The following is a 15901-nucleotide window of genomic DNA, read 5'->3' as shown; positions in this document are numbered from 1 at the left end:
ATGATAGGCTCAATTAAGTACTGGTTTCCAATAATCTGTTATGAGCCCATCACCCATAAAAGCCAGATAAAATTATAAATAATAAGTTTAAAGGTAACAACAGGCTAAGCACCAGTATCTGATGCCAGAAGGAGCTTAAGGCACAATGCTGGAGATAAGTGGTTTCAGAAATACTGAGCCATTATTACAGAGAGTAATATAACAGGGATTATTTAAGAAAGATAAATAATGCACTATGATCAAAATTAAAATTACTAAAATTTGATATCACATTTTAAACATAATTATGTAAAAAAATTCATTTTACTTTTTCTAAGATGTACTCTTTTATTTAGATGGAAGACATGTTTGTGAAAAATAACAATTTCCCCAGCATGTCACTTCTCAAAAAACATGTTTCAAAGATGAAATAGAGAAAATCTTAGCAAAAATAAAATTCAGATTTTTTTTTCTTTGAGATGGAGTCTCATTCTGTCGCCCCGGTTGGAGTGCAGTAGCGTGATCTTGGCTCACTGTAACCTCCATTTCCTGGGCTCCAGTGATCCTCTCACTTCAGCTGCCCAAGTAGTTGGGATTATAAGCATATACCACCATGCCCAGCTAATTTCTGTATTTTCAGTAGAGATAGGATTTGCCATGTTGGCTGGGCTGGTCTTGAACTCCTGGCCTCAAGTGGTCCACCCACCTTGGCCTCCCAAAGTGTTGGGATTATAGGTGTGAGCCACCGGGCCTAGCCAAAATTTAGAATTTCTGTATATAATTATATATTCCTAGAAATTATAATTCTAAATAATTTTTGGAATTAAAATACAATTTGGTTCAAAATTCTTTAGTTTAATAAATAGGAGATGTATAACGGATGAGGGTGATATAAAAGCACATATGTATATTCCACTAATTTTCTCTAGGTGCAATCTCTTCTCTCATTTACATTTATCCTCCACATCATGGAATATGTATGAAGTATTCCTGTTGTCTAAAGGCAAGCACCACTGACTACCTGGACATTGGGACCAAAATTGTTCTGGATATGTGTGTGGGGCATACCAGATATCCTGAAAGCTTAAGCATGGAACTAATGACATTTTAAATAGGTATCCTAAATCTTGCACAAATAAGTAATTGTCTCATAACTTAAAGTTTGTATTTGAATATGTTCAGTTTTAAAGTGGACTATGTGATTTGGCCCTTTAATACATATATATATGTATTTGTATATATATATATATATATATATATATATATTTTTTTTTTTTTGGCAAGTCAAACTATGCCTGATTCATAAAATTGAGTTTTAACTTAAAGTAAAACAATAGACGTTTTTTCAATTGGCATATTGCATTATGACATATTATTTCTCTCAGCTGGTGCCAAAAATCTGTATAGTAGAATATTTCTGACCAATTTTCTCCCGAAGAGTTTGCAAAAATGTTTTGATTGGGTTGCGGTGGGGTATTTTGTTTCTCTGATGCTCATGTGATTCTTCTCTCCAGACTGAACTGATTCATTTCAATGTAAAATATGATATGGTATTCATTTGCAAAAGTATACATTATAAATGAAAAAGAATCCATTAAACAGTATAACCTAGAATAGTAAGAAAAGAGAAAGCCAGGATTTTTGTGAATATGCTTTTTGGAGGGGGTTGGGTTAATTGACAGACATTTAGAAACTGTATTATCTAAGCTATGTTATCCTCATTTTCAAAAAAGTAGCTACTTCAATACAGCATTTTTTAATTATCATTTTTGCATCCTGTATAATATTTTGAAATTACATAGATGGATGATTTTCCTTTTTATGTGTGTAGGTGTGTTGGTACATGTGTGAACATGAGTATATAAGTATGTTTATATGAGTAAATGCAGCCAGACCTTCACCTAAAGTGCTTCAGAGCAACCACTAAGTGTAAGTCATGAGTGCCATTTATTATTACGCAAAGATATATATCATGATAACAGAAAATAAATCACTATGGTTTGGCATGGAACACAACTGTATGTTATACACTACAAGCCTGTAGGGGTTGGGAGGGTGCAATGAGTTAAACAACCTTGGGTTCAAATCCCAGCTCTACCACTTAGGTAGGACTTAGGGTAAACTATTTACTTTCTCTGAGCTATATTACTCTTACTTATAAAATGATGAAACTTAAGTTTCCTGCACAGGTGATTAAATATAAACAATATACTAAACATTAAGTAAAAACACATTCCTTGTTCACATATAATAATTAAACATTAATTTTCTTCTTTCCATTTTAAATGTTCAGGGATATGCAGTGAGTTAAGTGTGTATTTTAATGTGTGCCAACTCAAGAGTATAGTCATAGTATATAAGTAAAAATGCAGAATTTAAAATGTGTATAAAATATGCCCTTGATTATGTTGCAATATTTATAGAATAGAAAGTAAATATCTTTGTATTTTTCTATTTCAAAATTATTTGAATGTATTCCTTTAATCATCAACAAAATTAATAAATAGTATAGAAAAATATCAACTTCAATGCAGATTCTGAACATGATCCAACCTGATCTTGTACAAGCTAGGAGTCAGAGTAGGAATGGGGAAAGAAAGGGGGCATGTATGCACCTCAGACCACACTCCCGCCTCCCACACGGTCATGCAGTCCTGGCCCTCACAGCGCTGGGCAGAGGCGGGCTTGGGCCCAATGCAGTCCCTCTCTCGGGCTCTAATCAGTGTTCCATTGCTCAGTTGTTGGGTACAGGCCACTTGTCTGCTCTGCATTCCTTTTCCACAAGTTCGTGAACAAGGGGTCCATTCTGTCATCATCCACCTGAAAGTAAAGCAAGAGTCACTGGAAACAAGTTAAAAGATACCTATCTACTTGTATTAGTCTGTTCTCACACTGCTAATAAAGACATACCCAAGACTGGGCAATTTACAAAGGAAAGAGGTCCAATTGACACAGTTCCATGTGGCTGGGGAGGCCTCACTCACAATCATGGTGGAAGACAGGGAGGAGCAAGACACATCTCGTATGGCAGGAGGCAAGAGAGGGTGTGTGCAGGGGAATGCCCCTTTATAAAAGCCATCAGATCTCATGAGAGTTATTCACTATCATGAGAACAGCACGGGAAAGACCCACCCCCATGATTCAATTACCTCCTACCGGTCCCTCTCATGACATGGGAATCATGGAAGCTACAATTCAAGATGAGATTTGGGTGGAGACACAGTCAAAGCGTATCACTACCATATATTTTGACACGTCTAGAGTTAGCAGAATGTTACATGGAGACTTTATACCTTTTTTTTTTTAACCAAACACAATAGTTTTCTGCAAGATGCCCAGGCTTCCTCTTGCTTTGAGTGCTCCATATTTCTTCTCTTGGAACTTGTTCTTATTAGACTCTCAGTGTCCATCAGACTTTTTCCATGTCATATTATAAACTGCCTTTCACTGCTTACCATATCACTATACTGTGGGACTTTGTAAGTATAAAATTGCTAATATCCAGGAGTTATTCTTATTCTTTGTAATTTACATCTTTACAATAGCCCTATGTATTGGGTATCACAAATATCGTGGCCAGATTTACAGAAAGGGAAGCTCAGGCACACAGAGGCTTAATACCTTACCAAAGGTCACAAAATTGTGGCACCAACAATTCAAATGAGGCTGTAGACTACTTAACAGTGAGAGATATGGGGGTATTAGCAAAGTAACAGAAGACTGTGATTGACCTCTTACCTGGATAAAGCAATCACCAAGGTATTACACTTATCAGCAGCAACTAGATTTCTGTGACCAGGCTATATCCTCCCACATGGAGCTACACATGCTTCTTTAGGCTAGCCAATGTCTAGCTTTGATATGAGCATAGACACTGGAGTGACAGACTCAGGGCTAAACTTAACATGACTCCATTTTACAGGCTCTCAGGACTCCAATATTATTCTTTGATCTCACTGATTCAGCAGCTAATACATACGTATTTTAATATCTAGATGGAGAGCTACCTTAAGGACCACTAAACACCTGCCCAAATTCACTTTAGGAAAGAACTAAAACCTATGACAGAAAAGTGATTCTTAAAATTTGGTATTTGTGTGATTCCTGTCAATTAAAATCTTCCCTGTATTTCTCATTACTTGGGCAATCTTCTAGGGAGACCCAAATTAACTATTTCAGCACAATATAGAGCAGTCAGAATCCCCGAGGTTATTTGTAGGTACCTTATTAGCTGTGCACATTCCTGAAATAATACTTATTAGCTGTAAGTTTCTATTTTTTAATTTGTAAAAGGGTTTATTATTATTTCCTGATATACAATAGGTTCAGGATATATTATATATAGTAGCATTTTTAAAATGATTCATACTTATTCATATATTTTTCTAGCTTCATCTCCCACTTGTTCGGAAAATAAACCATATGCTCATCTTGCTTACCAAACACTTTCTATTTTCACCTCATGATATTTGTAGAATCCTGTGCCTGGATCCTTGACAGCCAGCCCCACGCCCATTCCTCCTAGAAGGGCTTCTCCATTCAACCAATGGGGACTGGCCTTTTCTTTGCTCTCTATTGCCTGGCTTGTAGCACTCACACGACTTATTAGATATTCCCTAGGGAAGCAGAGGGGCTCAAAGGCTACCTAATGAATTTGGCCTTCTTTTCTTTGTAATATATAAGCTCCTCAAAGGCATGTATCAATGTTTTGTTTTTGTTAGCATCCATAACACTTTTACATAATAGGTTTTGATAAACATGTCTTTCTTTTTTTTTTTTTTTTTTGAGATGAAGTCTCACTGTGTTGCCCAGGCTGGAGTGCAATGGTACAATCTTGGCTCACTGCAACCTCCACCTCCTGGGTTCAAGCTGTTCTCCTGCCTCAGCCTCCCAAGTAGCTGGGCTTATGGGCATGCCCGCCATGTCCCCCTAATTTTTGTATTTTTTTAGTAGAGAAGGGGTTTCAACATTTTGGCCAGGCTGGTCTTGAACTCCTGACCTCAAGTGATTCACCCGCTCTGGCCTCCTAAAGAGCTGGGATTACAGGCATGAGCCATTGTGCCTGGCCATAAACATTCCTTGAAATAGAATTTATGTTTCTCTCTGTTTTACAGAAGTAACCTTAATTATTCCAGATTTACCAAACCCAAGTATTCCTAGCAATGATCCACATTTTGAGGAGTCACATCCTCTTACAGCCTAGTAAATCTCATCTGTAAGTTAGTTTAATTGTAAATGATTTTATGTTTCTATTTCTGAGAAAGGAAATAGAAGGCTTTACAAGGTTATTTTTTCCTCATCTATCCAGCATGTTGCAGACCTGCCATTTTGCTTTGGAGTCCCCTGGTGGATTTCTCCTAAAGTGCACATCTTCCAAATTTAGTTTAGTTTCTGCTTCATATTTCTGCACAAGAATATCCAAAAAATAATCCCAATCTAAGTCCATCTACATATCTTTTCCAACTATGGAACTCAGAAGACACTACTGGGTTCTCCATACTGAAAAGAGAAGTATTTGCAATTTCATGGAATCTCATATTTTTAAGTAAAATAAAAATTTGAGATCCTCAATATAATTATAAAAAGTTACTTTTCCTATTCCTTATGAAAACCACTGAAAAATAAGAACTAAAATATAAAACGTATTCTAATGAAAGAAAACATTTTCGTGGCTTAGAACTTAATTTGGAAGGATCCCATTTCCTTATCTTTAAGAGACCTTCACTTACAAAGGTATTTACTAGTGAATTCATCTATTTTATATTTCACCCATAGAATGCCATCGGGCCATTTAGTGACTTTCTCAATAAATGTGAATGGGAATTAGAATTTTTTTACTAGGTTGGAGAAAGGGGAAAGACAGGAGGAATAAAGGATGTACTCTTCCAGTAAGTCTTGGAAAGGTTTCCTGTGATGACCCTTAATAATTGCCCATGTTCATTTCTTTCTTTCCAATATTTTGCTTAACCTCACTAACATCACAGCTTGGTGGTTCAAAATAAATTGCCTCCTTTTCCAAGGGAAGGGAGATAATAATCTCTAACAAAAAGACTTCCAGTCTCCAGCTGCAAAAATTTCTCACTCAGAAATGTACTGACCTTTTGAAACTAGTCATTTTACCAAGTCATTATTGAGACGTTTTTCTCCAAGATAGTTGAGTTCAGGGAATGAAAAATAAATAGTGTGTTGTATTGTACACTCTGCTCCTTCACAGACCAACTTGGGAAACAACAAACATGCTCTAATCCTCAAATCCAGCTCTTTCAAGATTCCTGATGTATCAGAAAAAGCCATGGCTCTTTCACCAAATTGGAACAACTATATGGCAATATAAAACAAATTGTGTTTTGAAGTATTTTAACATTATTTAACACAGATAATTTAGCATCTTAATATCTATTAAAGGGGATAGAGAAAAAGAGAATTCTGAGGAACAGCAGTAACAGCAAGGATCCTGGTTCTTTAGCTGACAGGGCCAAGGCCAAAAATGCTACTTTATGTATCTGTCCAGCACTGAGTGGAAATGACCCAAGGACCTGACAGTAGGCAAGAATAATTCCCTAGGTCACTGTACCTGATTACTACTCTGTATCATGAAAAAGCTTTACTGGTTCACACACTTATGCAGTTAGGCTGAAAAGCCTACACTCAGGAAGGTGCAAAGAACATGACATTACTGAAGATATGTCCATTACTTTTCCCTTATGCACATCCTTTTATATATCATTTTCCTATTCTTTTAAAAGCATATATTTGCCTGGGGTAGGACTGTTAGAGCAGGAATGCAAAAGACAGGAAAAGTTGATAATCAGCTTCTACTACTATAAACCAAAAATAGAATTTTAAGCCCCCCAGCTGATTGAATGGACCCTCCTCTCTCAGCTAAGGGGACAAAACTAAACTTGAAAAACTAGTTCAGACCATTATATGAAAGGAGGGTGGGTAGACATGCCTCATTATTACTCTCCTTCCTTTGGGGCTCAGGTATACAACTGAACAGCATTGACATTAAAACAGAGATCCTAAGACTAACCAAATAGACTCTTTGTAGCAATAAGATACTAAATTCCAACCTGACTCTACTATAATATCACATGACAGACAGCAGGGCCCTCAAAGAAACCAAACTATTTTACCCCATAATTTGACATACTTTGAAATGGCCCTGCAAAGCTGTGTCTTGTTGGGGAAACTGACATTCTATAGGGAATCCCCTTCCCTTTCCAGGTCTTTTGCTGATACTTTAGAGATTGGCTGAGAGTCCAGCACATTTTAAGGATCTGAAGAGGAAACACTGCCATCTGTTGCCCCTGGAGGTCAGCCACCTATGAGACTTCATCTACATAATATGAACCTTGGTCTCTACAACCCCTTATCTTAACCCAGACACTCCTTTCTCTTGATTCCAGGTCTTTAGATAATAATTTAACCCTCAACCAATAGCCAATCAGAAAGTCTTTGAATCCACCTTTGACCTGTAAGTCACCCCTCCCCCAATGGCTTTGAGTTAGACCAAACCAAGTTATGCCTCACATTTATTGACTGACATCTTATGTCTTCCTAAAACATATAAAACCAAGCTGTAACCCAGTCACCTTCAGCAAATGTTCTCAGGGCCCTGTGAGACCATGTCATGGGTCATGATCCACAACTTTGGCAATATAAGCTTCTAAATTGATTGGAGACCTGTGTCAGATACATTTTGGTTTACAGTATCTAAAATATATTGAATCTACAGAAAGCAAGCCTTGAAATTCAAACTTCGTAGATGAAGTATTTTCCAAATTCTTTTTTTAGATGTAGTTTCGCTCTTCTTTCCCAGGAGTGCAATGGCATGATCTCTGCTCACTAGAACCTCCACCTCCTGGGTTCAAGTGATTCTCCTGCCTCAGCCTCCCGAGTAGCTAGGATTATAGGCATGTGCTACCATGCCTGGCTAATTTTGTATTTTTAGTAGAGATGGGGTTTCTCCAAATTGGTCAGACTTGTCTCAAACTTCCGATCTCAGGTGATCCCAAATTCTTTTAAGCGCTCATTAACATAGCATGGCTAGATTTAGAGGGCTTTAGTAATTGACTTTTCCTTGGGGGTGTGAATAGGGAAATCAGGACTAACCATTCGTCTGCATGACACTAATTCCCAAAGAGATTAAGAAAGAAAAGCTCAAATATGGTTAATTAGCAACTTTGTTCCTCTCCCTCTTCCCTCCCCCATACCTACTCTTTGTGGTAGATGGCCATGAAGACGGTTATATCAGTTATAAACTGCTATAAAATGACACATTATCTGCCTATCTGAATTGTAGGGTGTGTTAATTCACCATGAAGCCATTACAGAAGCTCTTGTGAGGGGAAGATCAATGCTCTGACTACCTAAGAACTTACAACTCTTTCCTAACTCACCGGGCTTCAACAAATTCCTGAGTGTCAGGACAAAGTAAATATTCCTGTCCCAATATTCAGAGGAATCAATCCAGCCTCACTCTTTCTGTCACCCCATCCCTAAAAGTTTTCAGGATTTTGGACACCAGGGCTGAGTCCTAATCAAGCTAAGCCTTAATTTTTATGTGAAAGCAGGTAGATTGGAGCCCTGTGTTGGCAGCCATGCCAAGTAGCCTCGTTGCTAGGCTGGTCCAAAATTATACTCAGGTTCCACTCACCTGTCTTTACCCCAACTTCCAGTAACCAAGGCATGGGCTTCTTTCTTCCTATTCCACTTACAGCTGCTCAGCATTGCTGTTTTGTCCTCTACTTGTGAATTTCTTGCCTGCTTTGTTACCTAATACTCATTGGGGGGTGTCAGAGGAAACCAAAGCATCTGTGGTACAGTAACTGGGACCTGGGTCACAAAGTTGGTGGTGAGAGATCAGGGATTGGGCAGTTTGCTTCTGGAACTCTGGGCTAGGAAGTGAGAATTTAGCCAGAGGAATCAGAAACACTACACTGGCCTGGCTCTGCTGGGATCTGGGTCATGGCAGTCCCAGTTTGGTTTATGTTACTGTGGGCAAATTCTAACACACCGTTTTGGAGAATTCAGGAGCAAACAGCTATGTTCCACCAAATAACAAAGTTTTTGAAGAGGTGACCTAGAGGTTATGAAATGATTTTAAATAAAAAGTGATCTTAATTACTCCTCAGCAACCATCCCTCCCAATACCCCTTCCTTAAGTGGAAAATCTTGGCCTTGCTACCTTGCTTTCTTAGATCTTGCTTATTTAAGACTTTAAATTTTGGTACGTATCCTTTGGCAATGTTTTTAAGAAAATGTGATTTCAATGATATTCTGAGCATGTTTTAAAGGACAGCAATCTAATGGACAAATAATGCTTTAAGGGCCCTTGGAATAGAGTTACCTTGTTTGACATGGTTGCTCATTGCACTTTCGAATCTGTGGCTCTGGCTTGGTTAAGTATTTGCATTTCTCATTGTCCACAATGCTGATATTTTTGCTCATGATTTTTGTGCAGGACACTGTTGTCTTCCTTTCTCCTGAAAAGAACAAATAAACAAAGAAATATTATTATAAGCCTTTATGTAATGGATTTAGGAGGTGTTCATAAGCTTATTATGCTTATTTTTTATTTAAAAAACTTTTTTATAATTTAAATTTTTATTTTATTAAATTTTATTGATTCATATTAGATGTATACATTTTCAGGGTATATGTGATAATTTGATATATTCAGATAATAAAATCAGGGTAAGTTGGATATTCATCATTTAAATATTTATCTTTATGCTAGGAACATGTGAATTATTCTCTTCTAGTTATTTTGAAATGTACAATCTATTAATGTTAACTATAGTCACTCAATTGATTTATTGAACACCAGGTCTTATTTCTTCCATCAACTTTTATTTTAGATTCAGAGGGTACACCTGCAGGTTTGTTACATGTTATTATACTTTTCAAAGATATTTTAAACAAATTTTAGAACAATGAAGATATTATTTATAATTTACATAACAAAATGTACCTCTAGGCTTAAAAGGGATGAGTAATAAATATTCCCTGTTACAAATTAAATGGCAAGTTTTATATACAAAGTGATCATGGCAACATAAATTAGCAAGATACAAACTGAAGACATTGTAAAGGATTGTGGCCATCTTTTAGCATTAAGTGGTGGAAAGCTCTATTTCCATAAAGTTAATCTCCCTAATGAGCCTTTCTGAAAGCACATAAACATGTGTGCACATTTTATCATTTGGTTTGTACATCATTAGTGCTTTATAATAAGTTATGGAAAGCACATTTGTTTTGAGTATAACTCAAACCTTTATTCTTATCACCTCTAATAAAGACCCCAAGAATTCTAGAAATCTTTACCCAAATGATTGTCATCATCTGTAAGAAAAGAAATGGGACTCTTACCATCTTTTACCAGATTTCAGAAAACTTGGCTTTTCTACTTTCTCTACTATGATAAAATTTGATTATAGGATGTAAACATGACAATTTATATGCTGTATTCCTTTTGCTTACACAGCCCTGTAAGCACACTTCCTTTACAGGAGTTATATTATTCATCTTACAATTAAAATGTCTAGTAAGTATGTGCTAATTTCTGCTTCTCTTTGAAAAAGTCTTATATACAGATTTCTTGTGAGTAGAAAAAGATACACATCTGTATAATATTTAATAATCTTATTTAATCCATTGTTTGACACTATAAGACAGTTAAATCAGCCCAAAATTTTGACGCCAGATTGATCATGAAGAAGTAAGAAGACATCACAAGTCTGCTGGTTCACTATTGAAAGGCCCATTAGTTAGGGTACTATGACTGACATGGAAGCTTAGAGAATTCATGCTGGTAATGACAAACAAGAAAAGCTGGGCTGGTGGCAGGGAGGTCATTCTGCCACTCAATTAACAGAAAGAGCAGCTGGCATCAAGAATGAGGAAGGAAGGGATGTAGACAGAGAGGCAGTTTGAATAATTTTGGAGTACATTTTACTTTAGTTTGAATGGGAGATGGTAAGAGGCAACTGGTTGGCTAAGTAAACAGCAAAAAATAGCTTTAGGTTCAGAGTCTTTCCTTGATTTCCTCTCAATAGCTCTGAGCATAGTCCTACCGCAATTTGTAGTATAAAAACATAACTGCATTTGTATACATGTGTAAATTAAATAATAATTCTGTGGTTATTGCATATAATGTTATTAAAACCATTTGGACCTTTAGTTCAATCAACAGTGATAACACAATGTTGGCTAAGTTATTTCCTTTTTAGGAAATCTTGGAGTACTGATGGAATGCAACTTATTCTATGGGAGCTCCATATAGGCAAGAGTGTCAGGCAGGTAACAGGCCCTTTCCTTTGAGTGGAATGAGGTGTGCCTCCTACCAGTACCCTATGGCATTCCAGAAGTGTACACTGGTGGGCCAGCAATGGGGAGGGCCTTGAGATGGCATCCAACCACAGGTTAAAAAGTGGATTAGGAAAAAATCATGGCCTATAGGCAGATGAATTAGAAAACAGTACTCATCCTCCACATAGAGGTGGCCCCACAGCAGGCTGCATGGCTTGGCAAATGGAACATGGACTGGATTGCAGTCCCCTTGGCTGAAGACTTTATGCAGTGCAGAAACTGCCTGAATGTGGAAACTACACCCTCTGAGGTCCTCTTGAGTGAACCTTTGCAGCTCATGCAACAAGGTGACCTAATGCTAACTTGCAGAGGAAAGGCAGTCTTTCACGTCTCTGGCAGATACTTAGAAGCTGTCCATGCTATTCCTTGGTAGGTCAAGAAGGATAAGTGTAGATTCAGACTTAATCACAGCAGTGCTCAAAACCCAACAACTTCAAATAATTTTCAAATAAACTGCTAGAGAAGCAGAAATGACATTATGCTCTTTTTTTTTTCACATGGAGAAAACAGGCATCACGAGGTAAGATTTACCTAAATGTAAAATTTTGGGACAGATTTTTGGTCAGCTTCCTCTTAGCTTCCTATGCTTCAGGGGCTCTTTTATGACCTGAAGTATATATATCAAATAGATATTATGCAGATTTTGTATAATGCTAGCTTAGGTATTATTTCTACATTATTATGATGCGATAGCCAAAAGCAGGATTAAAATAAATACTACTTTTATGAAGTATAAATGTTAGTTCTAAAATTTAACTTGAAGCCTTGACACTTACAGAATAGATGCAGTTGCCTAAATTCATTTAAATGATGACATTTTGCCAACTGCAACACAAAAAGATGATGGGCGTTATCCAGAAAGCTTTTGCTGAACATATATATAGTCACAGAATAAATAACCCAAGGCTGATTATAATGCTTTTTTCCCCATCCTCAGAAAATATTTAACCTTAGTTATATTCACCTACTGCTTACGTACTGAGATACTGAAAAAGAAATTTTTAACTATAAGTATTGTTATATCAAAAGGGATATAGGTATCGGCATCATTTTAGGGACATGTTAGTAGTTTTCTAAGAAAGTATGAAGGTGCATGAGTATGAATTGAGACATTTCCATTTACATTGTAAGAAAGGACTCCTATATTGTAAGGTTTGGCAGCTAGGGGAAGCTTAGCTCTTTTTAAAAATTTCATTGAACAAAAACAATAGAATTAGAAAAAAACTCATTGCTCAGCTACAGACGTATTACACCTATGAAAATACAACTAAGATCTTAAAGCCATATGGAAATGTTATTGTTTGAGTTTTTCTTTTATATATTTAAATGTCCCAGCCAACACAGGAAATTTCCATTCTAGCATCTAATAGCAGTATCTACAATGCATCCAATACTGTGGCACATAGGGACAAACAGAAAGTGATGAAATAACTGACCTTCTGCCTGAATTATGACAGCTGTAGGCTGTTGACAGAGTATTACTTGCTTTATGGTGATTAACTTCACCTCTTGGTCATTCCCATTAAATTAGTCTTGGGGAAATCTGGATGTTTTGAATACAATTATAAATAAAATAAAATAACCATTATGCATTCATCTCTATTGAATTGCAATATCTGAAAATGAAGGGTAACTTTTATTTACTAACTCTTTGTGCTTTGGAAATTTAACAAAGACTAGACATTATATTAAGTGAGCCGCCTTTTCCAGTTTCACAGATAAGCTGACACTTTTTACTATAAAATATATGCTCTGTATTTAACCCATAAAATGGATATTTCAAAATAAAACTAAATTCTATTGAGGTACCTCACATTACTAGAACTTGCATTGTAAATGCTGAAACATATTCTTGGTTGTGGGTTCAGTGTTTCAATATGCATAACTGAAATTTTCTATACATTATTTAACATTCTAAAATTTTAAATTAAATTATAGAACTCTGTAAGACAGAGACTATGTGTGTGGGTATGCCTGTGTGTGTTTGTAAATTTCTTTATAATTTTTATAATTTTCTTTTAAAATTTCTACTTATTAATTTTCTTTTGGATTAACAATGGCCAGTAAGCATGAGAACCAAAAGTAAATATACTTTAATGAGGATGAAGGACTTTTCTCTGAGCGCTTCCTAGATCTTTGTAAAATGCTGATTATTTTTTACACCTACATTTATTTAACTTAAACGACTTTCAAAATCATGTCATGCCATTTACTTTTTATCCTTTTTTTACATTAAAAAATATTATTCCCTAAGGATATTGTCTGAGTGTTAAAATGACTAGTTCATTTTTTTATTTTAATGAAAATAATTTACTTTGCTTTGTTCACAACACCTAATATATAACTAATCTGATCTTGCCATTTATATGCATGCAAATATTTTAATGAGATCACATAGCTGTCAAGTTAAATTTAACTGTTAGCATAACACTCAAGGACCTTCATGAATTGGCTTTCATCCTACTTTTCTGATCAAATCACTTCCCACCCACCAATCCTCATACTTTACACTATAGTAATAACATTTTCACTTCCAAGAAAGCCTTCCACCTGGCACGTGGGTGCCTTTGCACCGAGGTATATCCTTGGAAGGCTTTCTATATCTTCCTTTATCACTGAGTAAGGTGATTTTATTATTATCTGACTTCCACTAGATGGACTGTGAGTTCTCTGAAAGCAAGACATATTCATCTTTGGACCACCTAGCAATAGTGGATGCATGGTCAATACTGGTAAAGGAATGAATGAGTGAAATATAAGCATGTAATTCAAGCTGTCAGTGCTTTCTATACTAAGAGGTTCATCTCAATACTATGTTTTCTAAAATGGTGACAAAATCATTTGCAAACTAAATGACAAATTATCAGGAATCCAGTTCTTCTTATGGCAAATCCAGTTCATGGATTATCGCTTAGGTATTAAAAATCAAGGTTATGAATAGTTTCTGTCAATATAAGATGTTTTTATTAATAAATGAAATAATATCAAATTTTATTAAATATTGAAATAAAATAATGCAGAGAAAAAATGGAAAATATATTCTGGTGCATTTTCTTTGGCAAATAATGTTTATTTTGGTACATGTATAGTACCTTTAAAATGTAAAAACAGGCCAGGCACGGTGGCTCATGCCTGTAATCCCAGCAGTTTGGGAGGCTGAGGCAGGTGAATCACGAGGTCAGCAGTTTGAGACCAGCCTGACCAACATGGTGAAACCCAGTCTCTACTAAAAATACAAAAAAATTAGCTGGGTGTGGTGGTGTGTGCCTGTAATCCTAGCTACTTGGGAGGCTGAGGCAGGAGAATCACTTGAAACTGCAAGGTGGAGGTTGCAGTGAGCTGAGATTGTGCCACTGCACTCTAGCCTGGGCAATAAGAGCCAAACTCCATCTCAAAAAGAAAAAAAAGTAAAAACAGAACAAATCACACCCTTATAGATGTTCTTTCCTGTTAAATATATTCTAGAGGGTTTTAAAAGGTATAGGCTTTTGAATACTGAAATGTTTTCCTCAACTTGGACCCAAAGGCTTGGATATCTACTTATGATCTGGATATGGACAAGGGAAGCAGTGTCTAGAGGATCCCAGGACAGTCATAAGCTAGACAGACTTGGACTGGTGTGAAGAATGTGGAATGTTGGCTTATTTTTTTTCCTTCAAAGTAGATCTGCTTAGGATTTCCTAAAAGCATGTTTAACTCTTCATGTGTTTCATAAGGGGTTATTGAATTTTGGGGTCCTCATTCTATTTTATTTCAGTAATCTATTCACTAGATCAAAACAAATCTTAAAGTTATGCAGTTAATGCTGATTCCATACACAATCCTCAGATATTTTGGAGTAATATATTTATAATGCCTCTGGAGACTAAGATCACTTAAAACAGGTCTTCAATGTCAAAAGGAACCTTGTAGCAAACTGATCCACACTTCTGAGATGCCAAAATAAATTTAAACCATTCCTCCAAATATTTTAAGATGTTTTAGAACTCTAACGCAAAGTGAACATTTCTTTCACAAAAACATTTCAAGCTGTTTGAAAATAAAAGAACTAGTTTTAATGACTGATGTTAAAATACAAAATGATATGTCAATTCAAATATTTCTAGAATTATCATTAGACTCAAAAGACTGTGACGGAAAGTGTGATAACTTATATATGTATGTTAAACTGTTGAAAAAATTTACCTGAGATGATCAGCCTTCATCAGAGATTTTAAGGCAATATTCCTTTTAAAAGAGAGAATTTTCATCTCTTAGGCTTTTCATATCTTATAATAACTGACAATAATAAATACATATTTGAAATAAGTTTAGTTTGAGTTACCATTTTAAAACTTAGTTTGAGATGCTGATGTAAAATATAATTATGATAAAAATTAGCTAGATAACCATATCCTTTTAAGTGTTTATTTTCCCACTTATTACAGTATTGGCAATTTAATATCTTACAACAGAATTAGAAAAATAACATCTTATACACACATTTTATACTGCCCTGTGATACTTTACTTGCTCTTAATATATTCTTATGAAGTAGAATACTGCTATT

General features: G+C 35.9%; 1 protein-coding gene across 12 annotated transcripts in view; it reads right to left on the bottom strand.

The window, feature by feature from the left end:
• ADAMTS19 (ADAM metallopeptidase with thrombospondin type 1 motif 19) overlaps positions 1–15901 on the bottom strand; it is a 278386-nt gene that overhangs the window by 34497 nt on the left and 227988 nt on the right. For 11 of the 12 annotated variants that reach the window (XM_047416876.1, XM_047416878.1, XM_047416877.1 and 8 more), the window contains 2 exons: positions 9332–9467; positions 2595–2799 (listed from right to left, as the gene is read on the bottom strand). In XM_047416876.1, the coding sequence (XP_047272832.1) occupies positions 2595–2799; positions 9332–9467 (341 nt within the window). Of the gene's footprint in view, positions 1–2594; positions 2800–9331; positions 9468–15901 lie in introns of those variants that run through there. The other variant, XR_007058587.1, reaches the window with a different exon arrangement.

This window comes from Homo sapiens, chromosome 5, assembly GCF_000001405.40.
Source record: "Homo sapiens chromosome 5, GRCh38.p14 Primary Assembly".
NCBI lineage: Eukaryota > Metazoa > Chordata > Mammalia > Primates > Hominidae > Homo > Homo sapiens.
Note: the sequence above shows the minus strand (reverse complement) of the source record. Positions and strands in the feature narration are given on the sequence as shown.